Here is a 26,604-nt window from a genome sequence, read left to right on the forward strand (position 1 = left end):
TTCCTTGAGGTGGAATAAGTCATTAACACCAGGCACTTCCTATGCCATCTGGGCTTTTCTTCAGTGTCCCACTCAAGTACTCCTTTGGCATAATCTAAGAAATATTTAATTGAGTGTTACTGAGTCTCTTGTGGCTCTAAAATGGCTGCTCTCTGTAGCCATCCGTGCCAAACCTTACCTGCGTCAACAGCTGAAGGTATCACTGAAGGTGTCCTACACATCTCACTGATAGGTGCTGGGACTTTTAAGTGTTAGCTGGTCTTGTTCCAGCAACCTCTGCCAGATTGACTTTCGCGCAGGGGCCCTCTAGCCTGGAGTCAAGAAAGATCAGCAGAGACAGGGGTAAGATCCAAAGAGGGAAAATCACCGCATGTGAGAGAGAACATGTCTGCATGTCACTGGGCTCCTGCCAGTGGAGAGGAGAACTGCTCGTTTTACTTGGATTGAGAATGTAGGGCTGGGACATTAGGATAATCAAAATATAGATTCTTAGAACTTCAGAGAATGGGTTGTGACCCAGACGTTACCCTTCCTGCGGCCCAGTATCTGGTCTTTACCCAGGTAGATGTCTTCTGGGAACCAAAGAGGCTGTCAGCTTTAAGGGTCCACCTGCCCGGACCTGTTTAAGAGAAGCAAGTATGTGTTTCTTCATTGGTTCTCCCTAAGCCCCTCCTCTCAGATTTTTTTTCATTTTATTGGCAATTAAAATGCCTTTATCATGACGTGGAATATCAAATTACCATATTTTATACCTCTAGGGCTCTATAAAATAATATACCTATTAATAATTAGACTCCTGTTCCTACATAGGAATAAGCATTGAAAATAATAATTATGGAGCAGCTCAGAGTGGAAGCATGTTGAGCTACTTCTGATATTGGCAAAGTGGTAAGATTTTATGGTCACTGTGTTTGAAGATGACAGTTCTGAGCATGTTGGAAATAGTTTTAAGAGACGATGGCTTGAATTGATGGTTGATTTTGGCTCTATACATTTTAAGAAATGGTTTCAGGATTTATAGCTGGTATTTCTGGGCTCTGATGGTCTGATGTGGCTCTGTGCTATCCCTCAGAATTGAGATTTGCTAAAATGAGGAAGAATCATCTGGTTTACTAAAAAAATCAGTCCTCTGAAATCTGCCCCATAAAGTTGTAGTGAGAGAAGCAACATTTTTTGCCGTATATTGAAGAGGACAGAGTTCTCTCCTGAACCTTCTCTAAGACCATGATAGTACTGTTTTTTTCCTTTCTCATCCTTCCATTTTTTTTCCCTCTTCTGTCTCCTTTCTTAAATAAAATAATTTATATATAGAATTGAATGTTCTATTTCAACAAGGTCACTGTATGAGACTGTGCATTTACTCTAGTGACACTGCCATTGGGCAAATAGCTTGGACACGTCTGTGAACAAGATTTGCCACCGTTGAGAATATTTAAAGTATGTCTCTAGCCTTGAAGAACATTCTAAAATTCAAAATATTTTGTATATTTCTAAATATTTTAAACAAAGAGAGCAATGCCTCCAAGATGATCACTTTGCAGAAGACTGGTTTAGAATCTGCAAGCTCTAACGGAGTTGTTAAAGAATATGGTCTTAACATTCTGTGGCTTCAAGATAAGCCTCTTTTTTTTTTTCTTTTTCTTTTTTTAAGAGATAGGGTCTCACTCTGTTGCCCAAGCTGGAGTGCAGTGGCAGGATCATAGCATGCTGCAAGCTCAAACTCTCGGGCTCAAGTGATCCTCCTGCCTCAGCCTCCCAAGTAGCTAAGAGTATAGGTGTGTGCCACCATACCTGGCCATGGGGCAAGCCTCTTCGTAAGACAATGCATTTTTAGAAAACTGATAGCTGATTTGACCTTCAAAACAATCAGGAGAAACATGAAAAGTAGACATTTATGTCTCCCATTTATTTATGTGAAATTTGAGGCTCAGAGATTGGGACTAGCTTGTGTTGGTATTTCCAAGACAATAGCTCTCTTTCCATTTTAGCAAATTCATCATATCTTGGCCCTCAGTTTCTTCATTTTTCAAATAATTGGATTGGCTAAGGAGACTACCAAGGTGTCTTTGAGCCCTCCAAACCTCTATGATGATTTCTACATCTTTGCTCTTTTCTGCAATCTTAGACACCACTGGTGCTGACATATGCACAGGCCATATGGACAGATCAATGTCAAACAGAGTGAATGAATAACCTATACTTGTCTCTCAAATGCTACTGACTTAGAAGACTCGTCTTTAGTATCAGTTTCTCTGAAAAGCTTTTTAGTACTTCTTCAACCCACACTTCTCTCTGTTCCTTAAATCTTTATTGCATTTAGAATCTAATCAGACAATTTTAAATTTAAATATTTTAAAGTTGTTGCTTTTGTGCCTCGTTTCTCTTCCTCACCAGCTTGCGCTTTTTATAAGGCCAGGATCACTTATGAATTGATCTTAGAACTAGGCACACATGAATTGTGGGTAAATATATTAGATTAGTCTAGGTTGTGCTTCAGTAACACATTAGCACAACAAAGTTTACGTTTTGTGTGCATTAGACATGTTAGAGGTGAGCAGAGGACTCTGCTCTGCATATTTCAGGGACTTGGGTTGATAGTGGTTCCATCATGTTACTGCCATGTTATCCAGAATATATGGCTTCCTTAATTCCTACAGCAGGGAACGAGAGGTTCTGCAAAGGACCACACTCATTCCCTTTCCCATAGCCCCCTGTTCAGAATGAGTCCCATGGCCATACCTATTAGTGCTATTGATGGAATTATGCCTCCCATCCCCAAATTCATATGTTGAAGCCCCAAACCCCAATGCAGCTATATTTGGAGACAGAGCCTAAAAGGAGATAACTAAGGTTAAGTGAGATCATAAGGGCAGGGCCCTGATGTGATAGGACCAGTGAGCTTGACCTCTCTGTTGCTTTCCCCACACACTTGCACAAAGAAGAGTCCATGTGAGCACACAGCCAGATGGCAGCCACCCACAAGCTAGGAGGAGGGGCCTCACCAAAAATCCACCATGTTGGTACCATAATCTTGGGTTTCCAGCCTCCAGAACTGTGAGGAAATAAAAAAAAAAATCTATTGTTTAAACCACCCAGTCTACGGTATTTTGTTATGGCAATCTAACACATAGTTTTGGAGCTGGGAAATGTGGGGAAACAAGTGGCTCTTTGGGGAACAATGGATGTTTCTGCCAGAAGAGTCAGGGCAGTGGACAAGACAGACATGGTTCCCTGCACCCAGGGATCTAAATGAACCTGTTAGTGTTATTTGTGGCTTTCAGTTTTTCTACATGACTTGCAACCAAACCACAGGTAATTATTAGTTTTGAGTTCTGTGTACTTGGAAGAGACACAGAAAAAACTGAAAGCTTAACCAAATGAGGCATGCATTACAATTTCACATAGTGCTATGAGGCCTAAAATGTTTTTGGTTCCTTTGATTATCTCTTTATAGACATGAAGCTTAATATAGAAGATTTATCTCAATATGGTTGTAGAAATAAGCATTGGAGGCCAGGCACAGTGGCTCACCCCTGTAATCCCAGCACTTTGGGAGGCCGAGGCGGGCGGATCACGAGGTTAGGAGATCGAGACCATCCTGGCCGACACGGTGAAGCCCCATCTCTACTAAAAATACAAAAAACTAGCCGGGCGTGGTGGCAGCACCTGTAGTCCCAGCTACTCAGGAGGCTGAGGCAGGAGAATGGCGTGAACCTGGGAGGCGGAGCTTGCAGTGAGCCGAGATTGTGCCACTGCACTCCAGCCTGGGCGACAGAGCAAGACTCCATTTCAAAAAAAAAAAAAAAAGAAAAATTGGAGAAGATAGGCATTTATGTTCATCATTTTGGGGGTGATCAGGTTGCTATGGTGATAGTAATCATGGCTATATGCACATCTTTATTCCCTCTCTCAACATGAGTCTTTCTTTTTAGACACATTCCTAGTAATTAAACTTAAAATAAATTCGATCTACTCACCATCTAGTACTAGGATTTATCACATGATTTGTGTTGTTTTGCCCCAAGGAAAGGCTAACAGGAATTATGATGTCAGAATATAATCATGATAATACTGTACTTAAATTTTCTTTTTGCAACTTAAGAGCAAAACACACATATCACAGCCTGGAAGAAGACTTGACTGTTGAAATGTTCAAATCATTGTAGAGGTGGAGAAAATAGGCAGCACAGATTCTATCTTTTCTTTAGAAAAGATGTCAAGTAGAATCATAAGTTTCATGCTTAAGAGGGTTTTTTTTCCCTTCATATGTGACTTTAAAAACCATTTTTGCCTTAGTGTAACTTTTAAAATACCGTTTCATAAACTAAAGTAGTTGTCTGGAATTCCTTGAAGCCCATGGTTTGGCTTCAGCAGGTTTTAAACAAATACACTGTCAGAAATCGATGTGGATACATTTCCAGCAGTTAAATGCTCTAGTCACAGTAGATACTTTGTAAAATCAATAGCCTGAAATATCAGAGGATTATAGTTGTATCAGATTCCCCAAATGCCTAACATTGTTTTAATTACTCTAATAAAAGAAAGCTGAGTGGACTTAAAAAAAAGAAAGAAAAAAACCTTGCCTATAAAGAATGTTCTGCTCAAGCCAAAGCAAATTTTTTTACAAGTTCTCTTAGAAAATCTGGAAGTATTTATGCATTTTCCTCTTCTTATGAGACAATGCCTGTTACCCAGCCAGTTCTGCATTGTACAGTGCTCTTTATAACAACGACCCTTAGAACAAGTTGATCAAATATGTTGCTCTAGTTGCACTAGCGATAGGGGTTAGAGATTTAGAACTTTTTACTTTTTGATGCATAGAAATAAGCATATTTAATGATCTAGTACTGGGACACTAAAGAGTGTTCATGAGATTTTCTAGTTTAATTTGGAGCCATAGTTGATTCAGGGGCTAGAAGAACACCATTTTGCTCAGAACATTGTCAGGAGTCACTTTTCCAGAGTGGAGATGTGTTTATATCATAGTGAAAAGACAGTTTAAGAGGAGCAAAGAAGAGGAAAGACGAAGTTTGGATTGATCCAACAACCTGTTACATGTAGTCAGTACTTTTCCCATAGGGGACTTCATTCTGATTCTTATGAAAAGAAGTTCAAGATTTCAAAAAAAATAGGATTAACATTCCTCATCCAGATTCATAGTATTGATGGTGTAGCTTTTGTTTACTAGAATACCCCAAGGCTTTGTGCCAGAATGTTAGAGTAATGTGCTTCTGAATGTGGATGGAGGTGAGGATGGCACCTGCATGGGTGGAATAATTTATGGGACATACCTGTACAGTGTAGGTTGATGGATTATAATGTGACTTTATAATGGTCACAGCCCAGTACACCCAAGATCTGCATTTCCATGACCATCTTGAATCATTTCTGAGATCTTGCCTATTGATAATTATATCATTCATTATAGCTACCCAATATAATCTAGAATCGAGCCATTTAAGAGCTGTAACTCTTCTCAGGAAGGTAGAGCTGCCCTTTGTGTGTACAGGTTAGCAGGAAAGGGCTGGCATGACGTAGGGTGAGGAAAAGGCAGCCCATTATTATGGTTATCCTTGATTAGGTTGGCCTAGGTCAGGGTATGAGGATACCACCAGGCAGGCTGTGGCAGCATGGAATCTAATGTATCAACCTGGCAGGCAGGGGGCACCTGAGGAACACCGACCTTCATAGGATTGCCCTGCCACGTAGCTCCTTGGCTGCCCTCAGCCCTGCCCTGGAGCTTTCATAAAATCATAGAACTTGGGCACTTAAATGAGTATTAGCAAGTAGTCTGTCCTTACAATTTTATGGGTTGATGCAACTAACATCCAGAGAGGTAGATCAGTTTGCAGTTGAGTTTGTGTGGGAGGTGGGGAGTAAAACTGAAGATTTTAGTGTCTAGTCCAGTCTTGCTACTATTTTTTTTTTTTTTTTTTTTGAGATGGAGTCTCGCTCTGTCTCCCAGGCTGGAGTGCAGTGGCGCGATCTCGGCTGACTGCAAGCTCCGCCTCCCAGGTTCAAGCAATTCTCCTGCCTCAGCCTCCCAAGTAGCTGGGATTACAGGCGCCCGCCACCAAGCTTGGCTATTTTTTTGTGTGTGTTTTTAGTAGAGACTGGGTTTCACCATGTTGGCCAGGCTGGTTTCGAACTCCTGACCTCAAGTGACCCGCCTGCCTTGGCCTCCCAAAGTGCTGGGATTACAGGTGTGAGCCACCGCACCTGGCCAGTCTTTCTACTATTGCACCCTGACTCTTAGGCCATTTCTTCTAGGGATGGAGGATTCACAAGAAACCATTGCTATCTAAACCTGAAAGGACAGCTATATTCTCTGGGACCTGACTTAGTTAGAGAGTCGCATGCTGTGTGGTGTTTTGTGATTGGGCCATGGATCCTTGAGGGGAAGGAGCACAGTGAGCTCCATTGCTGTTGCTTCATGGTCTTGGTTCTCTGGCACCAAAACATAGCACCATGACAAGTACGATCGTGATGTCCCCAAAGTGAAATCATCTGCCGCTTGAACGTCAATATTTACAAGTTGAATTATTGGAATTCCATGATACCATGTTGTGCTTCTTAAGCAGAGTTAAAATGAAATCTATACAATGACATGCCCTCCACAGCATTAATTCACTGAGTATTTCTTTACTAGCCAGAGCACTTTTGAGAAAACCTGAATATTTTTAGCAAGGTCTTAAGAATATCTTTTTCTTTTATTTCTATATCTAACTTACGTGTTTATTTTATACATCTCTTATCTGTAGGCTGAATCTGGGATATTGTATATCGAATAACTACTAGATTAATTGCTCTTTTGTTAAATAAGCCCAGGTTTTTAAAGGAGGAGCCTGGGGGAAGAGATCTAATACAAGCCCAGTGGGGCTTGGCCATATGGCTGTCTCACATACAGTCCGTCTCACATGTGTTGTCTCAGTCCACTCAAGAGCTCCATGAAAAACGGATGTCTCTAGTGCCATTTTATAGAAGACAAAATAGGCAGAGAGACGTTGAGAGTTTTGCCTATAGTCATGGAGGTGGTAATTGGTAAAGTGAAGATGTGAATGTTTTTCTATTTTCAAAAGCTGCCCTCTTGCCATTTACCCAGTTGTGGGTCATCCTTACATTGCTTTTCACTGAGTTCAAGGGGAATGTGGTTGTGCAGAAAAGTCTGTTTCCTGTTCATAATGTGCTAATGCTGCAAGGCAAGTAGATATCTGGGAGTTTGCTTTGTGTTCAGAAGTCTTTTTGCTGTGGCTGGACAGCATTTGTTGAGATAAGATATTATTCGTGCTGAACTTAACTCCTTTCTGCTGTTTGTTTGAGAAAAAGTACAGTCAATGGGCCTCCAATCATCTAATTTCAAATTTTTGTCCTCTTGTTATTCCTGATTATGTTTATCTCCAGTATAGTTTCTTCCTTTTCCTCCCTGTGAATGATATACTTTGTCCTGGTAATTCTTTTTTACATTTCAGGGGAAGTACTAGATATAGAACACTTTACCTTTATAAAAACATTATCTCTTTCTCCTTTTCCTCCTCTTCATCCTCATCAGTCTTTCTGTACTTACCATTGTTTCAAAGATGCTAATTATTTAATTGGAAGCAATATAAACTTTTTTGCTTTGAGAAAAGGAACTATGATGCTTCTTTTCCCCTGTTTCCTGGTTGATTTTTATATCCAACTGTACATCTAATCTCAAATTTGGAAAACCCTCCATGGTTTAGCTCCACATCTTCTCTGACTCTGCACACCCACTCTTTGTTCCTTCGTATTGACCTGCCTTCCCCTGTCTTTACCCTCCTCCGTTGCCACTGGCTTTTCTCCCAGCTGGTGGTTGGTGTTATGCTTAGCTAGAGCTGTTCCATCTCTTTGGAATCTCTCTCCCCAGTAGAGCCATTGAGTCACTTCCTTGTTTCAGTTCTTGCCTAAACACAGTCCTACTTACTCTTGCAAGAGTTACAATGAATCAGACTTCTGTTTTATTTCATGTTTTCCCTCAGTGCAGTCTCTACAAGTATTTTTTGAAACCTGTATCACTTTAACGTTTTGGGTTCTCTCCTTTGGCTCTAAAAGATGTTCTCTACTGAAACTTAAAATATTTTATACTTTATTATATAATAGTCCTTCATAGCATAATAAAATGAGTTATATACATGTAATGAAGACAATTAATAAGAGTATTTCAGTTTATCATTTTTTAGTGTTTTAAATAGTAAGATTAAGTAGTAGGTTCCTGACATGTGGCTATCTTTATGGAGTGGCCCTTTTAATAGTTAAATATCTGAAGACTTTTAATAAATGTGTCCTGAGAGTTTATCAAATGGCTAGTACTTTAATGCTGGTTATAGGTTTTACCCACACCAGGCACCAGTTGAGGAGGATGATTGGGGCCTGGAGTCCAGCCCATGCTCTGCTCATCCAACTCCATGTCCTGATGCAGGTCACATCCTACAGCTGCCCTTTTCTAATCCCCACACAGGGGTTGATGGAGTCCCAGTATCTGGGATTGGACAAGCATCATTTAATCTCACAATCCTTTGGGGTTGGGATTACTGGCTCAGAGAGGTTGGATGATTTGCTGAACTTCTCACTGCTAGTAAGAAGTTTCTGGGATTTCAATCCAAGTCTAATGACTCCAGTCCAGCACTCTTTTCTTACCACCACTGCTGGATCCTCCTTCCCCAGGACTCTGCACAGTGCAGCAAACACTCTTGGAATGAGGGTACGTTGTAGGCACTATAGGTACCAGCGATTTTAATACGTGAAAATTAAATCTTATAAAACCTTATGAAACCATATTCCACCATCTATCACAATCTCTTCAAATCATCATTCAGCCTCTGAAGCAACTCCAGTGGGGAGTTTTTAATTGACAAAAATTGTAATCCTTGGTTACCAGATAAGTTTTGAACTATCTTTCCTCTCACATTGATAGGCAGATGTAAAAGTGTCTATGATCACAGCCCAACTTTGAATATCAGGGAAGTGCTACAGTATTACCTCAAAAATGAGATTAAAGTCTGAAGATATGTGTTCCCAGTCAGGCCAAGATTTAGATACATACATTACCCTGCAATCTGTAATTTTTGATGACTAGCTTCAAAATTAAAGGTTTTTTTCACTATTGCTTATAATAATTTTGTGTTGTAAATGTAGTAACATGGATATTTGTGGAATAATTGTAATGATTCTTGAACAGCCTTACCTTCTGCATCACAGTGTTCATACAGATGTGCACATAGGAAGGGTTGAAAAGTTATTTTCATGCACTCAGTGTTCCAGGAATCATGACCAGTGCACTGCTGAATCAAGGCTGGGAGTAGCTTTGTTTGTTTTTCTTCCTTTTGCCTTATTTGTATAAGTGCTGTAGTTAGAGGCCCAGGCAGCATGAGCAACTCTAGAGATGTGGAAATGAGGGAGGAGGAGATAAGACAAAAGGAGGTGGTTAGGAGGCCGTCTGCCTAGACGCAGTCCTATTATAGATGTGAGAGCAGCAGAAACACTTGAGTTTTGCTGTGGTGTGTAGTAACTTGTATTTCCTAGATGGGATAATGTAACCTATCAGTATGTAGTGACCACAGAACCTTAGACCTTGCAGAAATCGTAAAGGTCATCTGCTTCATATCCTGGGCATCCCTGAGAGATGGGTTTCCATGGTCAGCTCCTAGTGAAGTCAGCATCTTCCACTGTTAAGGAGCATTAACTGTTGAAAAGATCTTCTGCTTAATGAGGTTGAATCCACTCTTTCTATGATTTGTAGCCTTTAGTCCTGCCAATACAAGTTAAGCATCCCAAATCCAACAATCTGAAATCCAAAATGCTCCAGAATCCAAAATGTTTTGAGTACCAACATAACACTCCAAGGAAATGCTCGTTGGAACAATTTAGATTTTGTACTTTTGGATTTGGGATGCTCAACTGGTATTTTCAAATATTCTAAAATCTGAAAATAACTAACATCTAAAATACTTCTAGTCCCAAGCGTTTTAGATCAGAGATCCTCAACCTGGACCTTCATCGTGCAACAGGCTTCCTCTTGCTCAGGGTATCTGAACACTGCCATCATGTCTGCACGTAGTCTCACCGTTCCGCCTTTCCTCAGTTGATCCTTACAGGACCTGGTTGCCAGAACTTTCATTTCTCTGCTTGCACTGCTTCATCTAGGTCATGCATGGGCTGAATCCTGGGACAGCTGTGTAGGGTTGTAGTGTCCCTTAATCTGCAGCCCAAGGTTGTGTGAGCTTTTTGAGGCACTGTAGCTTGTTTGACCCAATAGGATTTTTGTTTTGGATTTGATTTAGCTAAATATTGGGTTGTAAATTTAGCACATTTCTCCAGGATTACTTATTCGTAAGACACATCCTGAAATGATAAGGCTTTCCATGTTAATGTAGTGAATAATTCACAAAGGAGGAATTCCATTTGTGTTTTTAACTTGTAAAACATCACCTCAATCTGTGCGTAAAAATATAGTTAGCGTGAGCCTATATCTGTGTGATTACATCTCACCAGAAAGCAGAACCTAACAGTCATAGACAAGGATTTTCTGAATGCTGATCTCATCCTATTCCATGTGATTCTCTTCAGTGTGGCCTTTTGGTGTGGGAGAGAGAAGATCTTTCCTCTACCTTCTTTTCCTGTAGGCATTTCCTACATCCAGGTGAGACCCTATGGTGTTCAGTGGTCTCTTGGGTGAGAGCCCTGAGTATGGCCACAGAGATCTCTCAGATGGAGTTTCTGGCTGCACATCGAAGCCTCTTCATAGTTAAATAACTGAAGGGCATATGTAGAACTTTGAGTCTTGTTATAACTGTGACTTCATCTCTTGTAGCTTATTCTTATACTGTGCAGACCCAGTTTCAAGACACACACAGTGTTGTGGTACCACCTACACTACCATTTATTTAAACAATTTGGATGGCTTATGCTGCTCTTGGCTGTGGACCTGCAAAAACAAAGCCATGGGATAAAGCGGCCTGAATCATGTAATGAAAACCTTGTACCTTTCTGGAGGCCCTGTTGAGAAAAAATGATTTATTTTTGCCCTACCAAATAAAACATTCTAGGAATCCAAGGTGAAAATTGGATTTTAACTGCTACTAACATTTTAAGCATATAAAATCAGCAAGTGTTGAGTGTTTCGCTTGATTAGGAGATGAACCTAAAGAGTCCAGTACAAGAATGATCTGCATATGATGTGAACTGGTGTCTTACATAAATTTTATAAAACTGGAAATAAACCCTAAGCATGCTTTGGCAGCCAGGTTGCAACGGTGGGGACCTCTGTGTTTTTACAGAATCATTTTGTTCCCAGTCTTAGGCCTGGGTCATTGTTCGCCTTTCCTCCCTTCAGTCCTTCATATTTCAGGGTTACACGTTTTGTGATTAAGCTCAAGGAGTATGGAAACTACCTGATTCCAGCCCCAAATATGTGCCTGTCTTCTCTAAGGTTCCCGTTTGTTCTCACGTTGGATCTGTCTCTCCCTCTTCTTCTCCCCACTCTGCGTGTACGTGCCTGTGCATGTTTGTTTCGTCATCTCTGTGACTACCTACCCACCTACCACTTTATCACTCTTTTTTTGGTCCAGTCTTCCCCCGTGTCTGAGACTGTTCATCTGTGGCCCTGCCGCTGTTCCAACCTCGGGGACTTTCCCTCACTGCACGTGGTTAAACACTTTGCTGAGAGCCCTGTCTTCAAACAGACTTCCCCAGGTCATTGTGTTGGTATCTGGCACACAACGTCACTCATTGTTTATCCAGTTGTGTTGTTTTATAAGAGAGTTTCTTTATCTCAAGGAATGCGTGTCACGTGTCTGCAGGAGTTACTGCCCCGGTTTCAAGAGATGTGATGGTCTTGGGCTTTACTGACTTACACTAGGGCTTTTTTCAGTGCCTTCCCCAGAATTACGTGTTTTTTCAAGTTCATCTAAAAAAAAAAAAAGCAATTGTTTTGGTATGCCTAGTTTTGCTTAACTCAGAATGTCTTTAACACCTGCTTTTATATTAGGGAAGTTCATTTTGTCTCGTAGGGTCGTTTCTTATGGAGTCTGGTACTTTCGAGAGGGCAATTAGACTAACCTGTTTGATTGACAGGACCGTTTACAATCTACTCCACTCACACGCCTTCTACTCCCTGGGGAATCCGACAAACATTTGGGGCCTCAAATGGGACATCTGGAGTAGGGAGCTTTTATCTATAATAATAATAATAATGATAATGGTAATGATAGCTGACACATGTAAGTGCTCAGCTATAATGTTCAGCATTGCACATGCCTTTTTTCTTTCATGTTTCATGACCCTAGGAGAAAGATACTATTATGCACTCTACGTTATGGGTAGGAAAATGTCTAAGATAATGCGTGTAAGAAGTCCTACAGTCAGAATTCATTCTCAGGCCTCTCTAACTCCTGAGTCACATTTTTAATCACTATCATATACTGCTGTTGGAGAGCACACAGCATCCTGTTGAAATCATTAAAAATAATAAAACCTTAGAACATCAAAGCTATGATGTAACTAAAACTTAGCTGAGCCTTCTGTGGTTTGGTCTTGTTTTACAATTTGGATATGTAGTTACTTAGCGCCTCAGTCAGAATGTTGCATGCTTGGACCTGGCAGAAAAGAAACGCTGCCCCTGGAGGCCTGCCAGGTGACTGGTGTCTACTACTTGCTGTCCTTCTGAGGGCCACCACCTGCCTGGACCTTCTGTCACCACACTCTGCTCACTAGCCTGGGGTATGGATGCTAAACTTCCATTGGTTTTCTTTTGTTTTTTGTTTTTTTTTTTTGAGATAGAGTCTCGCTCTGTCGCCAGGCTGGAGTGCAGTGGTGAATCTGGGCTCACTGCAATCTCTGCCTCCTGGGTTCAAGCGATCCCCCTGCCTCAGCCTCCTGAGTAGCTGGGACTAGAGGCACGCACCACCACGCTGGCTAATTTTTTGTATTTTAGTAGAGACAGGGTTTCACCATGTTGGCCAGAATGGTCTCGATCTCCTGACCTCGTGATCTGCCTGCCTCGGCCTCCCAAAGTGCTGGGATTACAGGTGTGAGCCACCATGCCTGGCCCCTCCATTGGTTTTCACATAGCCATTGCTTGCCTGGATGGCCTACAACTAGCTTGTTCCTTAGTTCCCTAGGTTGTTTGTTCCTTTCTTCATGCAGCGTTTCCTGAGCATTTGCAACGTGTACTGTGTACTGGAATATAAACATAAGATACATACGCATTTAACAAAAATGCATCTCAGAGGCAGTAGACTGTATAGACAGTGCTGTGGGGTAAAAAGGAGGGAGGAACTCATTGGAATTAAGGAGATAGGGGAGGTTTCATAGTGATGGTTCTTCAGAGCTATTAATACATCTCATGGGTTGAATAAAGTTTATTCTGGGAAAGAAAAAAGGGGAGGGTGTTCCAGCCAGACATGCTCCTTTTGGAAGGACGTGATTTGTTCAGAAAATAAAGAGCCCTTTGGTATGTCTGCAGGATAGAGGTGGATGGGGACAAGAGATTGCCTTAGGTGGGAATAGGAAGGACCTTATAGATCATTCTAGAGTGTGCCATTTTCAGACAATGGAGAGTCAGTGAAAGTTTTTAATCGGTAATGTGACCAGATTTGTCTTTGGAAAGACAACTCTGGAAACTGTTGGGAGGATTTTTGTAGAGGCTGAGGCAGAGAAAGGCAGAATAACCCCTTGGATGCTCTGTGTTTGCACAGGAGACAAAAATGTGGGGTGTGTTAGCCTGCATAGCAGGGGTGGAGAGTCAGCTGGTCCTCCCCTCAGGCTGGCCTTTGGATGGGTCCACAGAGCAGGATCTGTTTTCTTAGGCACTTCCTCACCCCATTGAGGTGGTCTAACTTCAGGCCCCTGCCTCTCAGCTTTTTCTCACTTCCTGTGGTTGACCAGGAGTCTTACCTGGTCTTAACACTGGACAACCAGTGTTGCACCAGTAGCCTCTAAGTCCTACTCTTCTGCCTGCTCAAGCTGGTCTCGCTTAAACATGCTGGCACCTTCCTAGCTTGGCTGACCTCCCTGGGTCAGAATACTTGGCTGCCTGGAGCCTTCGTCTCTGCTAGAGCTGATTTGGCCCAGCCAGTAATTGTTTCTTCTGTCCTGTCTGTGCCCAGGCCTTGGGGTTATAGGAAGACCAGAAGCCTCCTGTAGGTGGGACCTGTGCCATCTTCTCACATTTTACACACATGCCATACCCTTAAGAGTTATGTTCCCTGATGGTCCACACAAGAGATTTAAACAGACAGATACAACTAAAATCTAAAAAGCCTATATTGATCTTACACACTATGAGGCTCTTATTAAGAAAAAAAGGCATTGGAAATTTAAGTTTTATGAAGTACTCTGAGCAGTGACAGATTTTCTTAGACTAGAAAAACATCAAGGTGCTCCCATTTGGAAATGTACTTGTTCATTTTTGTGTTGTATTGATTTCTGTCCAGGTATTTTCTTTCCAAGTTTTATAGTTTTTTTCCTTTCTAATTGTGTCGATAACAAGGGAACTGGTTTATAGCGTGGCTGTGAGGGACAGCAGTGCTCTGGGGCTGGGCATCCTGCACTCAATTAACCTTCATATTTCACACCTAATCATTGCAGTGTGGCAAAGCGCTCCCTGGCCTTTCAAAGCAAGAGGACTGCTGTGGAACTGTGGGTACCTCCTGGGGCTTTAACAAATGCCAGAAATGCCCCAAGAAACCATGTAAGTAATGTTTCCTCACTCCTTTGCAGGTTAATGTAGCATATCTGTTTTTTATGATTACTCCTTTAATGATGAGGCAATATTAGACTTTCAAAGAACTCTCCTACTGAATTCTAGAATGTAGTACTATGATGTGCATTTCCAGAAAATTTGCAAGTCTGAAAAAGTTTTCATGTCAATTATTTTGTAATAAGCACAGTTATTAATTATCCTCTTTAGTTGGATTACTTATGGGGAAAAAAAGTCTTAAGTGGTAATGAGTTAAAATGGACTTTTTGTCTCAGGGGAAGAGAAAATAAGATCTCTTTTAAAATGGTAAATAAATGTTTCAAACCCTGTAAAAAGTACAGTTGTTATTTCCTAGGTTTAAATTCCTTAAATGAGATTTTTATTAATGTCCACAACTTATGTTGTAGTTTTTGTTATATTATCGGTTTTCAAATTTCATTAAAAGGAAAGCTAAAATGGAGAAATAATTGGTTGTTGATTTGTAAAAGAGAAATTTATAATCACTAGGACACAATTCTTTCCCATTTTTTCTGACACTGGTTTTATGCTGTCACAGACCTCAGCAACATTAATCTATATTAACACCCCCAGGCTTTGATTTGCTTTTATTGTTCAGAACATGTTGATTTGAATAAATCAGATTTACACCTTTTTAATACTCTATTCCTGACAATAATTTGTACCTTTAGTTTTTCAATGTAGTATTAACTCTGGATAACTGATTTCTAATAAATACTTTTTTTTCTTTTTGAGACGGAATTTCACTATTGTCGCCCAGGCTGGAGCACAGTGGGGCAACCTCGGCTCACTGCAGCCTCCGCCTCTTGGGTTCAAGTGATTCTCCTGCTTCAGCCTCCCGAGTAGCTAGGGTTACAGACATCTGCCAACATGCCCAGCTAATTTTTGTATTTTCAGTAGAGATGGGGTTTCACCATGTTGGCCAGGCTGGTCTCCAACTCCTAACCTCAGGTGATCTGCCTGCCTCTGCTTCCCAAAGTGCTGGGATTACAGGCGTGAGCCACTGCGCCTGGCCATAAATAGTTTTTAGAGACAGAGGTGACTGGGTTTAAGTTGAGCTTTCTGACCCTTATTCATCATGTTTTTGCCAAGAGAGCAAGTGATATTTTTGTCAGTCATCTTTCTTTGCCTCATATAACTGAAGTTTTTATAATTTTTTTATTCTTTGTACTGCAAGAAATTTCTCATTTGCTTTAAATGAATAATTTTTGTTTACTCCTCTTATCTGTTGATTTGATTGTATTCTCAAATGCCTTTTAAACCTCTATATTCAATCTAGGATTTGCCATCTGGGCATTAGTATTCCATATCTCTTTCTTACATTATTTGTTCTTCTACCAGTATAACAATTCATTTTAAGTAATTGTCTCTCATTTGGACTTCTTTGTCTCACAAACTTACAGATTTTCTAAATGCCTAAAGCAAGTAATTTTATTTATTTTGTTGATACTACTCATCTCTTTTTAGAAGACTAACTTGTGGAAATGCCCACCGAAGTTCCTCATAATTAATGAATTCTTCATTTACAAAAATAATCCATGTAAATAAGGACATTTTCAGTACTGAGAGAATTTTCCAAGCAGATGTTCTAAGCTGATTCGATGATCATTTGCAATGCAAATTTCCAGGAAGTAGGTTGAGTGTGATGGTTCATCGTCACTGGAAGATCCATTTGCTTAAAATTATTTTGGCAACCTGACCAAAGGGATAGCTATGATGCATTTGGTTTGATTTAAAAATTTTAGTGTTTGAAGTTAGGTAGCCCTGAGTTCGACTCCCAGCTCTTTCATTTGCTATTGAGTCTTAGAGCTCATTAAGCAGGAATCTATACCTAAAACGTTGAAGAGGCGTTGCCATCTTTTTTTTTTTAAACCTGCCTCTTTGTTTACCATGTCTGTCTGTCTGTAGGAATATTGAGGAGGATGATATATTTTCCACTGTTTGGTCTAAGAATTAAGGATGAGGGAAGTTAGGTTCATAGAACTTTGTTTTGGTCCTAAGTCTATGTTCTCTAATATTAAATACCTTCCCCATCTGTCTTATTTTTCTTTTTCATTTTCATTTACCCCCTTCTTTGTGTATCTTTTGCTTAGCTGCTTCTCTTCTCTTGTGTCCAAACCCCAAAGTAGCAGGGATGTGATAGACATTAAAGGTAAAGAGATTCCTACTGTCCTTTTATTTTTTTTTTAATCCCTAACTTCCACTCTTGACCTTTTGTCGTTTTTGTCTAGAATTGCGTCATTTTTATCTAAGATGAGTTCACTGATGTCTGTGGTTTGTGAGCTCTGTATTTTAATCTTGATAAGGACTTAGTTGAATGTGAAAGTGCAAAGTTGCTGTCACTTTTAACTAAATGTTGGTGAAAAAAATCCATATGTTGGCTCATTTAATGTATAAAATTGAAGAGACTGCCTTCACTTCAGGAAGGGCAATGTGGACTATGAATGAAGTAAACTGTTAACATCTTGACATTTATTCTGTTTGTGTCCTCTTAAGTGACTCACTCCCAAGAAACACACTCAGGGTCACATTCTTCCTGTGTCATTTAAAAAGTTTTCCTTTCCTTGGTTGGGACTCCTCTCTAAATCATATTCAGTTTGGAAGGAAGCAGACTTTCCTTGGCTTTCTACGCTATGGTTTTGTGTTCCACACCTCTTTTTTTTCACTCAAACTAGTTCAAACTTTAGTTTTCAAGTGGCTTTTATTTAACATTTGAAGTTTTTGTTTAGCCACATACAGAAAGACCTTTCATTGTTGATCATTTTTTTTGCTGTGAATACTTAATTTTAAATCTGCAAATGATTTCTTAAATAGTTTGTGACCCATTAGAAATGTGCCTAGCATGAACAAGTCACTTGTCCTTTAAAACTTTTGAGAAGAAAATGAACATAAAATCCTAAGCTGAGGAGGACTGTAAGAGATTGCCTGGTCTGGCTCTCTGCCTTCAAGTAGATGACTGCTGAAAGTTCTAAAACAAGTTCATATCCATCTCTTTTGACTTTGAGGAATTTGCAGCCAGAGATCCCACAGTCTCTGCAGGATGCCTGCTCTAGAGGTCTATGGGACAAGACAGACCTGAGGCCAAGGAGCTGAATGGAGGGACTCCCACACGCCCATATCTCCCGTCTTTTAATTTGCCTTTCCCAGATGCCTCACTCTGATCTTCTCTTTTAGGCATTCGGGGGAATCTGAAGAGAGGGGAAATACAGCAAAGAAAAGAATTGAAGGAGAAGAGGGACACCCCAGTACATATTCACCCTGTTCCTTTAGTGGTGACAGATAAAGAGCATATGGGGAGGCTGAAATAATTTTATTTTTTAAGAGAAAATTTCCCTTTTTATTTTCTACTTTCCCCTTTTACTCCTCTTTCAAGTCTTTTTTAGTGGTTTAATCTTTCATCCCATTTTGATTATAGCTTGTTTTCTGTTGCACAGTAGCCTCTTAATAGAAGAATTCCTTACTGCAGGACATAGCAATGGCATTTGACACTTTGGGAGTGCTTATCACACTTAGGCCCTGTGGTAGGCATTTTTCATGAATTATCTCTAAATTGCAGAAGAATTCTTCCCTGCTCAGTAGATGGGAATTACCCTCATTGTATAGAATTTCTGTGTGAAACCCAAGAGGCTTGTTTCCCAAGGTCACAGCTATTGATAGGAAGAGGATTTGAAATCCACTTCTGCCACATCCCAGAACTTTGGCTGCATCCGCTATGCCAGGTGCTCTCTCAAGTCTCACTCTAGAGTATCAGAATCTCAGGAAATAGGGTTTTGTTGAGAAGTTGGTGATTGCAACATTTGTATTGTTTGCATATTCTGAGTGTAGCCCTTTTAATTTCCTGACTTCCTCTCATCACCTGCCTATTCTTCTCTGGTTCATAATGGTGAGAATCATCTCATGACTGGGATACCCGATCCAGCAATTAGGATGAGTGTATAATTTATTGTCTAAAGTGGGACACTTTGGGGAGTAAAGTACTGTTAATTAACTTTGCTGGAATAACAGACATCACCCAGAATGTTCCAGGACGTGTAGTAACCCTACCTACAATGGATAAGAAAATCCAAAACCTAAAGCACATCAATGGGGAGGAATAGATCCTTTGTGATGGAAATATGTAATCACTAATTAGAAGAAAATGTACAACAATCTTAGGATTGTTTCAGTTAACGTAATAAAGATTTACTGATAATTTCTTGGGACTTTATTGCAAAATAAGTATCCTGAAAAATAAGCAGAATGGGAAAAAAATTATGGAGATATACATTGGTATTGGTTTCTTATATTAATAAATGAATAAGTAAGTTTGCTGATGCCTTAAATGGCTTCAGATATCACTTACACTAGTCTAAGATTGTAAGAATTTAAGTATGTAACAAAGCATTTCTTCCCTTACAGCTTATCATGGATACAACCAAATGATGGAATGCCTACCGGGTTATAAGCGGGTTAACAACACCTTTTGCCAAGGTAAGACTAACTGAATTCATTGATGTGGACTCAACAGTTGTTTTGGCTTTTTAGAAACTTCAGTTGTTTGCCACGGCTTGCTCATTCGCCCAGCCTGTCACAGTGAACCACCTCATGTTCACTCCTTTTGGCTAAGGAAATGTAAGGAAATAAGTTTAAAATATGGTTATTGGAATTGCTTTACTACCACTGAAACTTGATGCAAGTTTTTAATCTAAAAGAGTTTGGATAGAATTTAAAAGAGTTTGGATCACATTAGAGAGCACACTGTGGTTTCCATGCTAGTCACCTCATATCCTTTCATGGGCGTGTGCACACATGTGCTTGCAGGCACCCACATGTACTTAGCAGTTCTACTTCATTGCCAATGCATGGTTGGGCAACAGAATTCCCTTTTCTCCTCTCATCAAAATGTTGTTGGTCATCTCAGGAACTAGATATCAGAGTAAACACATTTTGCCTAGGCAATAAGAAAAGCTATGTAGCTAAGTGTGAAATGCCCTGAGTACTTTTGTTTGGTTTATGTTGAACAGTACAGCAAAGTTGTACAAGCAGGGGGAAGCTAGGAGATTGTCTGGTACAGTGTCTACTTTATAAATGAGAAAACTCAAGCCCAGAGAGGTTAAGTGACTTTCTTGTGGCAGCATAGAGCTGAGATTATAACTTGAGTTTACCAAGGCCTAGTTTAGTACCCATATATGATATCATATTTTGTTTTAGTTACTTTATGGGAAGACCAATGCTTCTAATTTCCCTTTACATGTCTAGGATGAAGATGTTGTTATTAGTAACTTGGAAATATGTATACATTGAAACTGAGAAAGCAGAGAGCCTCCCAGAGTCTGATAGAACCAAAAGCCATGTTGAGAACATGGCACATGTCTTCTGATTTGTGTTCTGAGGCTCTGTATCCTTCACCACCATATGTATTTAGGATACAGTAGATTAAGGTCATGTTACAGAGTATAGGTTAACCCCCTATTCAAATGGCTCATGTCAAAGGAATATCTTGATTACCTGAGAATTTTCTCAAGTAGATTGTCTATCACCCTATTCAAATGGCTCATGCCAAAGGAATATCTTGATTTTTTATCTGAGAATTTTCTCAATTGTCTATAGTGCATCTGTGTAACTTTTATGATATGTAGAGTCTTTGGTAACATAAAAGAATTTATTTAGAAATGCACATACAGTCTGTCTTTGAAAGACTTTGTCTTAAAAATATTGTAAGCCCTCATGTGTCACAGAATGTTGAGAAAATTAGAATTAACCACTTAAGGAGAGGACACCCATGACACATTTTGAGAAACATCTGCTAAACTTAGTAACATGGGAATAGTGGATTAATCTACATTATTTTAGAGTCAGAATTTAAGGTATCATTGAATTAATTAGATGGATGAATGAGTAGGTTAAATTAAATAATGAATAGATTTTAAGATGCATGTTTTACAATATAAACCAAGTTATTGTTTTATAGATTTGGATAAAAGTCTATAGCCTTAGCACATCTGTAGGATGCATTAGTAGAAATGGAATGAACAGGGCAGTGGAAGTAACAACCTTGTACACTGTGCCCCTCAGACTGATTTGGGGTTTGGGTGTTCAGTGTTCATTATTGTCTTTTGGTTAATAAAGTCAACCAAGTTTGTGAAGGACCTAGAAACATGAGTGTGTTTAGCACGCAGAAGTACAGACTGAAGAGAAATATTATGGCTGCCCTATAAACACGCCTTAAAATGTTTGTAAACAGGCCACTAAATGATTAACTGTCCTACAAAACAAGACATACCTAATAACAGGGGACACTTCAGGAAACTCGGTGTCGAGGGGCTAAAACTTATGTGAAAGGCTGAGACGTAATTCCTTTCTTCTCATGCACAGTCTCTGTCCCAGGGGACTGATGGTAATGATAGCATCATAGAACTGGAATGTGCCTATGGGCCATCTAACCTTATATGCTGTTCAGGATAAAAATACTCTTATCATATCCCTGGCCAATAGTTATTAAGAAGCTATCAGATCACCTCTGTGGACAGGAAGCTCAGTACTTCCAAAGACATTTCATTTCAAGGTTGTTGGGGAACTCTATTCCACAGAAAAGGCTTTCTTGTAGTTGTTCCGTTAAACTAGAGGACAGAGGAGGGTCCTTATTTATCCTTCACTAATCCAATCCTGCATAGCTAATTGTTAGATACATTTTCCAGAATGTCAGATGCTCCTAATTTCTCTTAATGTCAAATGGATAAAATATACATATGTTCTCTTGGTATGGTGTGTTTATTTGTTTGCCATTTTTTACCATTCATAGATATTTGAAGACAGAAGGCTTACTCTCTCTTAGATAGTTTTATGGTGTTATTTCTTCCTTACGTATTTAGCGTAATTCACAGGAGAAGACATTTGGTCCTGAAGTTTTCTTTTAGAAAGTGTTTCGGTTATGGAGCAAATTAATAGCTATACTATTATTCAGATTTCCCATTACTACTTTGTGTCAGTTTTAATAATCTGTATTACCTTAGAAAGTGTCATTTTATCCAAAATGTCAAATGTATTAATATGAAATGTTTTCCTAATATCCTCTTTTCTTTTTAATTTATATAGCAACCCCCATCCCTTTTAGTTATATTGCTACCTGTGCTATATTTGTTTTTCTTGAATTAGGCTTGCCAGTGGTTTATCAATGTTACCAATTTTTCCCCCAAAGAATCAGTTATTTGTTTTGTTGAAAACATTTGTCTATTTCACTAATTTCTGATCTTTGTTTTCTTTTCCTCTACCTTTTTGTTCAATTGCTACTATTTCTAATTTCTTTAGATGCATACTTAGGTCATTGATGTCAGCCTTTCTTCTTTTTCTGAAATGTAAATAAAAGGCTGTAAATTTCTATCAGTCTAGATTCTGACTTTAACTGTGTCCCTTAATTTTGTGTCATTTTCTTATCTTTAAGTTCAAGTTTTAAAAAAATTTCCTTTTATTTTTTATCAGCATATAATAATTGTACATATTTATGGGGTATGTAGTGATGTTTTGATACTTAAAATGTATAGTGATCAGATCAAGGTATTTAGCAAATCTATCATCTTGAACATTTATAATTGGAACATTCAGTGTATCTTCCTTCTACCTATTTGAAACTATATAACTACAAAACACTAGAACTTATTCTTCCTATTTAACTGTTGTATTAGTCCGTTTTCACACTGCTGAAAAAGACATACCCGAGACTGGGCATTTTACAAAAGAAAGAGATTTAACTGGACTTACAGTTCCACATGGCTGGGGAAGCCTCACAATCATGGTGGAAGCCAAGGAGGATCAAGTCACATCTTACATGGATGGCAGCAGGCAAAAGAGAACTTGTGCAGGGGAACACCTATATTTAAAACCATCAGATCTTGTGAAACTTACTCACTACCACAAGAACAGCAAGGGAAAGACTTGTCCCCATGATTCATTACCTCCTACCAGGTCCCTCCCACGACATGTGGGAATTCAAGATGAGATTTGGGTGGGGATACAGCCAAATGATATCAGCTGTCATTTTGTATCTTTTAACAAATCTATCTTTAACTTTACCTCCCCTCTACCCTTCCCAGCCTCTAGTTATCTTCTGTTCTACTTTTTACTTCAGTGAGATCAACTTTTTTTTGCTTCCACTTATGAGTGAGAGTATGTGGTGTTTAACTTTCTGTTCCTGGCTGATTTCACTTAACATAATGTCCTCCAACTCCATCCATGTTACACAAATGACAGGATTTCATTCATTTTTATGACTGATTAGTATTCTGTTTTGTATATACACCACATTTTCTGTATCCATTCATGTATTTTTGGACACCTAGGTTGATTCCATATCTTGGCTATTATGACTGGTGCTGCAATAATAAGTTCAATTTTTAAAAATTATTCTGATTTTGTTATTGACCCATGGATTATTTAGAAATATATTGCTTAATATGCAAATACTTGTGAAATTTTTCTTGTTCTATCAGTTGTTGAGAGAGGTGTTAAAATTGCCTGCTACGATTATGGAATGGATTTTTTTCTTTCACCTCTGGCAAATTTCAGTCTGTGTTTTTTTACCTTTACAATGGGTGTCTTATAGACAACATGTAGTTGAGTCTTGCTTCTTTTCTACATTCTGATATCTCTGCCTCTTAATAGGGGTGTTTATTGCAGTATAATCTAAAGTAATTGATCCTGGCATACCCCAAAGTTGGGGCCTAGCCTGAGAGGGTTTTTGGCTCTGCTCAGGAAAGAATTCAAGGCTGAGCCAGCAGTGAAAGAAAGCAAGTTTATTAGAGTAGCAGGTACAGCAGAATGGCTGCTCCATAGGCAGATCAGGGCTATCCCAGAGGTGGGGTGGCCCAGCATAGTAGCAGCAGCGTACAGCAACAGTAGCCATCCGGAGCAGCAGTCCCTGTAAATTGCTGGCTAGCTATATTTAATACTCACTCTTAATAATATGCTAATTAAGGGGCAGGTTATTTCGAATTTTCTAGAAAATAAGTGGGGAGTTCTTGGAACCACGTAAGATAACTTCTGGGTCACTGTCGTGGCATTTGTGAACTGTCATAGTGCTGGTAGGAGTGTCTTTATGCTAATGAGCAGTGAGGGTGACTAGAGGTTGCCTTCATGGCCCTCAGTTGGTTCTGGCCATTTTTTCTGCTACAGCCTATTTTGATTAGCAGGGTCATGATTAGTGCTCAGAAAATAAGTCCTGCTGATCTCCTACCTCATAATTATTGATGTGGTTAGATTTAGGTCTATCTAAACATCTTTGTCTGATCAGGAATTTTTTTGTTCTTTTCTTTCCCTTTTCTTAGAATTCCATTTTATCTATTGGCTTTTTACCAATATGTTTTTGCATCATTTTACCTTTTTTTTTTGTCTTTTTTTTGAGACGGAGTCTTGTTTGTTGCCCAGACTGGAGTGCAGTGGCATGATCTCAGCTCACTGCAACCTCCGCTTCCTGGGTTCAGGTGATTCTCCTGCTTCAGCCTCCTGAGTAGCTGAGTAGCACCAACACACCTGACTAATTTTTGTGTTTTTAGTAGAGATGGGGTTTCACCATGTTGGCCAGGCTGGTCTCGAATTCCTGGCCTCAAGCAAATCACCCGTCTCCACCTCCAGAAGTGCTGGGATCACAGGTGTGAGCCACTGTGCCTGGCCTTTTTGTATTATTTTAAAGGGATTACTCTAGGAATTATAATGTATGTAGTAACTGATAGACCGTTTGTATTATAATTCCTAGAGCAATCAGGAATTTGACAGTTTAAGTTTTCATAGCCTATTTAGAGTTAACATAGTACCTCTAAACAGAAAATATAGAAATCTTGCCTCCAAGTAGCTCCTCTTTTTGGCCTGAAAATCAATCCCCTACTTATGCCCCATGCCACACCCTTAGTGAAAACCACCATGACAGTCTCCCAGACAGTAGTAGGATTTCCTCTTACTCTGTGTTGGAATTATTTATTCACATTATATGTTGTTGTTCACCTCTTTCTTTTCCTGACAGGCTGATTTCTCAGACATCAAGGACCCAGTCTTACTCACTTTTGTGAACCCAGAGGCCCAATTTTTAAAAAATAGATTTGATGTGGATGAAGAAAGGGTTCATTTGTTATTGATGAGATAAGAAGCTCTTTTTTTTTTTTTTTTTTTTTTTTTTGACAGAGTCTCGCTCTGTCGCCAGGCTGGAGTGCAGTGGCATAATCTTGGCTCACTGCAGCCTCTGCCTCCCAGATTCAAGCAATTCTCCTGCCTCAGCCTCCTGAGTAGCTGGGACTATAGGCGCGCACCACCATGCCTGGCTACTTTTTTTATATTTTCAGTAGAGACGGGGTTTCACTGTGTTGGCCAGGAATGTCTTGATCTCCTGACCTCGTGATCCGCCCGCCTCGGCCTCCCAAAGTGCTGGGATTACAGGCATGAGCCACCACGCCCGGCCAAGAAGCTCTTATTATAGCTTTATTTTATTTGGTCCAGTACCAATGACTTACAAATAAAACCAACATATTTGTAGTGATTCATGATAAACTATGTTTGTAAGCCCAGAAGTCATAAACTTATAAAGAGGGAAATAAATAATGAATTAATTTGATTTTAATAACTAAATTTACTGTGTGCCAGATGCTTTGTTTAATAAGCACTTTATATCAGTTATCTCCATTAGCCTTTAAGTTTTCTATTTAAAGTAGGCACTATTATACCCCATTTTACAGGAGAAATTGAGACCTAGAGAGGCTAAGTCATTTGTGCAGCATATTGCTAATAAGTGCTACATGCAGGAATTAAACCAAGGTAGAATGAGGCCAGAACTTATGCTATCAACCGTCTTGTTCTGCTTTAGGGAAAGGGAACTAACCTTTATTGATCATTTACTATGGGTTAGTCCATATGCTATGTACTTGGTTTAATCTTCAAAACAATCCTATGAGATTTGGGCATTATTATTCTCAATTAGACATTGAGACACAGAGAAAGTAAATAACTTTCCCAGGGTCACAAAGATAGTTAATAAGCCCAACCAGGGTTATACCCTTTTTTTTTTTTTTTTTTTTTGAGATGGAGTCTTACTCTGTCGCCAGGCTGGAGTGCAGTGGTGCAATCTCGGCTCACTGCAATCTCCGCCTCCTGGGTTCAAGCGATTCCCCTGCCTCGGCCTCCCAAGTAGCTGGGACTACAAGCACACGCCACCACACCCGGCTAATTTTTTGTATTTTTAGTAGAGACAGGGTTTCACCATGTTTGCCAGGATGGTTTTGATCTCCCAACCTTCTGATTCACCCACCTCAGCCTCTGAAAGTGCTGGGATTACGGGTGTGAGCCACTGTACCCGGCCCTAACCAGGGTTATACTCTCATACCACCTATGGCCACCTTTACCAATTATATATTTGTTTATATTTTGTAAAATATCACTAATGCAGATACTAGCTAATTAGAAGTTATGCCATCTGTTGTGAGAGCTAATAGAAGTCAAAGCAATTAATATTAATTTTGTTTTATTTCATTAAAAAGTGATGGTTATCAGCCAGATGTAATGGCTCATGCCTGTATTCCCAGCACTTTGGGAGGCTGAGGCAGAAGGATTGCTTGAGGCTAGGAGTTTAAAACCAGCCTGGGCAACAAAGCAAGACCCTGTCTCTACAAAAAAAATAAAATAAAAATTTGCTGGGTGTGGTGGTGCATGCCTGTAATCCCAGCTACTGAGAAGCTGAGGCAGAAGGGTTGCTTGAGTCCGGGAGTTCGAGGCTGCAGTGAGCTATGATCGTGCCACTGCACTGAAGCCTGGGCAACAAAGTGAGACCCTGTCTCTAAAAAGAAAGAAGGAAGGGAGGAAGGAAGGAGAGACGGAGGGAGAGAAAGTTGTACAATACATTTCTTTTACTGGCT

The 26,604-nt window shown here is 39.8% G+C and overlaps 1 protein-coding gene across 65 annotated transcripts in view, besides 1 other annotated feature; it reads left to right on the forward strand.

The window, feature by feature from the left end:
• The window catches only part of LTBP1 (latent transforming growth factor beta binding protein 1), a 452,557-nt gene that overhangs the window by 255,995 nt on the left and 169,958 nt on the right, over positions 1–26,604 (forward strand). For all 65 annotated transcript variants that reach the window (XM_011532853.3, XM_011532857.3, XM_011532861.3 and 62 more), the window contains 2 exons: positions 14,605–14,707; positions 19,133–19,204. In XM_011532853.3, the coding sequence (XP_011531155.1) occupies positions 14,605–14,707; positions 19,133–19,204 (175 nt within the window). The remainder of the gene's footprint in view (positions 1–14,604; positions 14,708–19,132; positions 19,205–26,604) is intronic.
• Positions 16,150–16,651: an enhancer, noted in NCBI's record as "NANOG hESC enhancer chr2:33444164-33444665 (GRCh37/hg19 assembly coordinates)". NCBI's record gives its function as "activates a minimal SCP1, AML or CMV promoter by ChIP-STARR-seq in primed H9 embryonic stem cells {active_cell/tissue: H9 hESC(primed)}" and the evidence as "EXISTENCE:reporter gene assay evidence [ECO:0000049][PMID:30033119]".

The sequence above is a fragment of the Homo sapiens genome, chromosome 2 (genome assembly GCF_000001405.40).
Source record: "Homo sapiens chromosome 2, GRCh38.p14 Primary Assembly".
Taxonomy (NCBI): domain Eukaryota; kingdom Metazoa; phylum Chordata; class Mammalia; order Primates; family Hominidae; genus Homo; species Homo sapiens.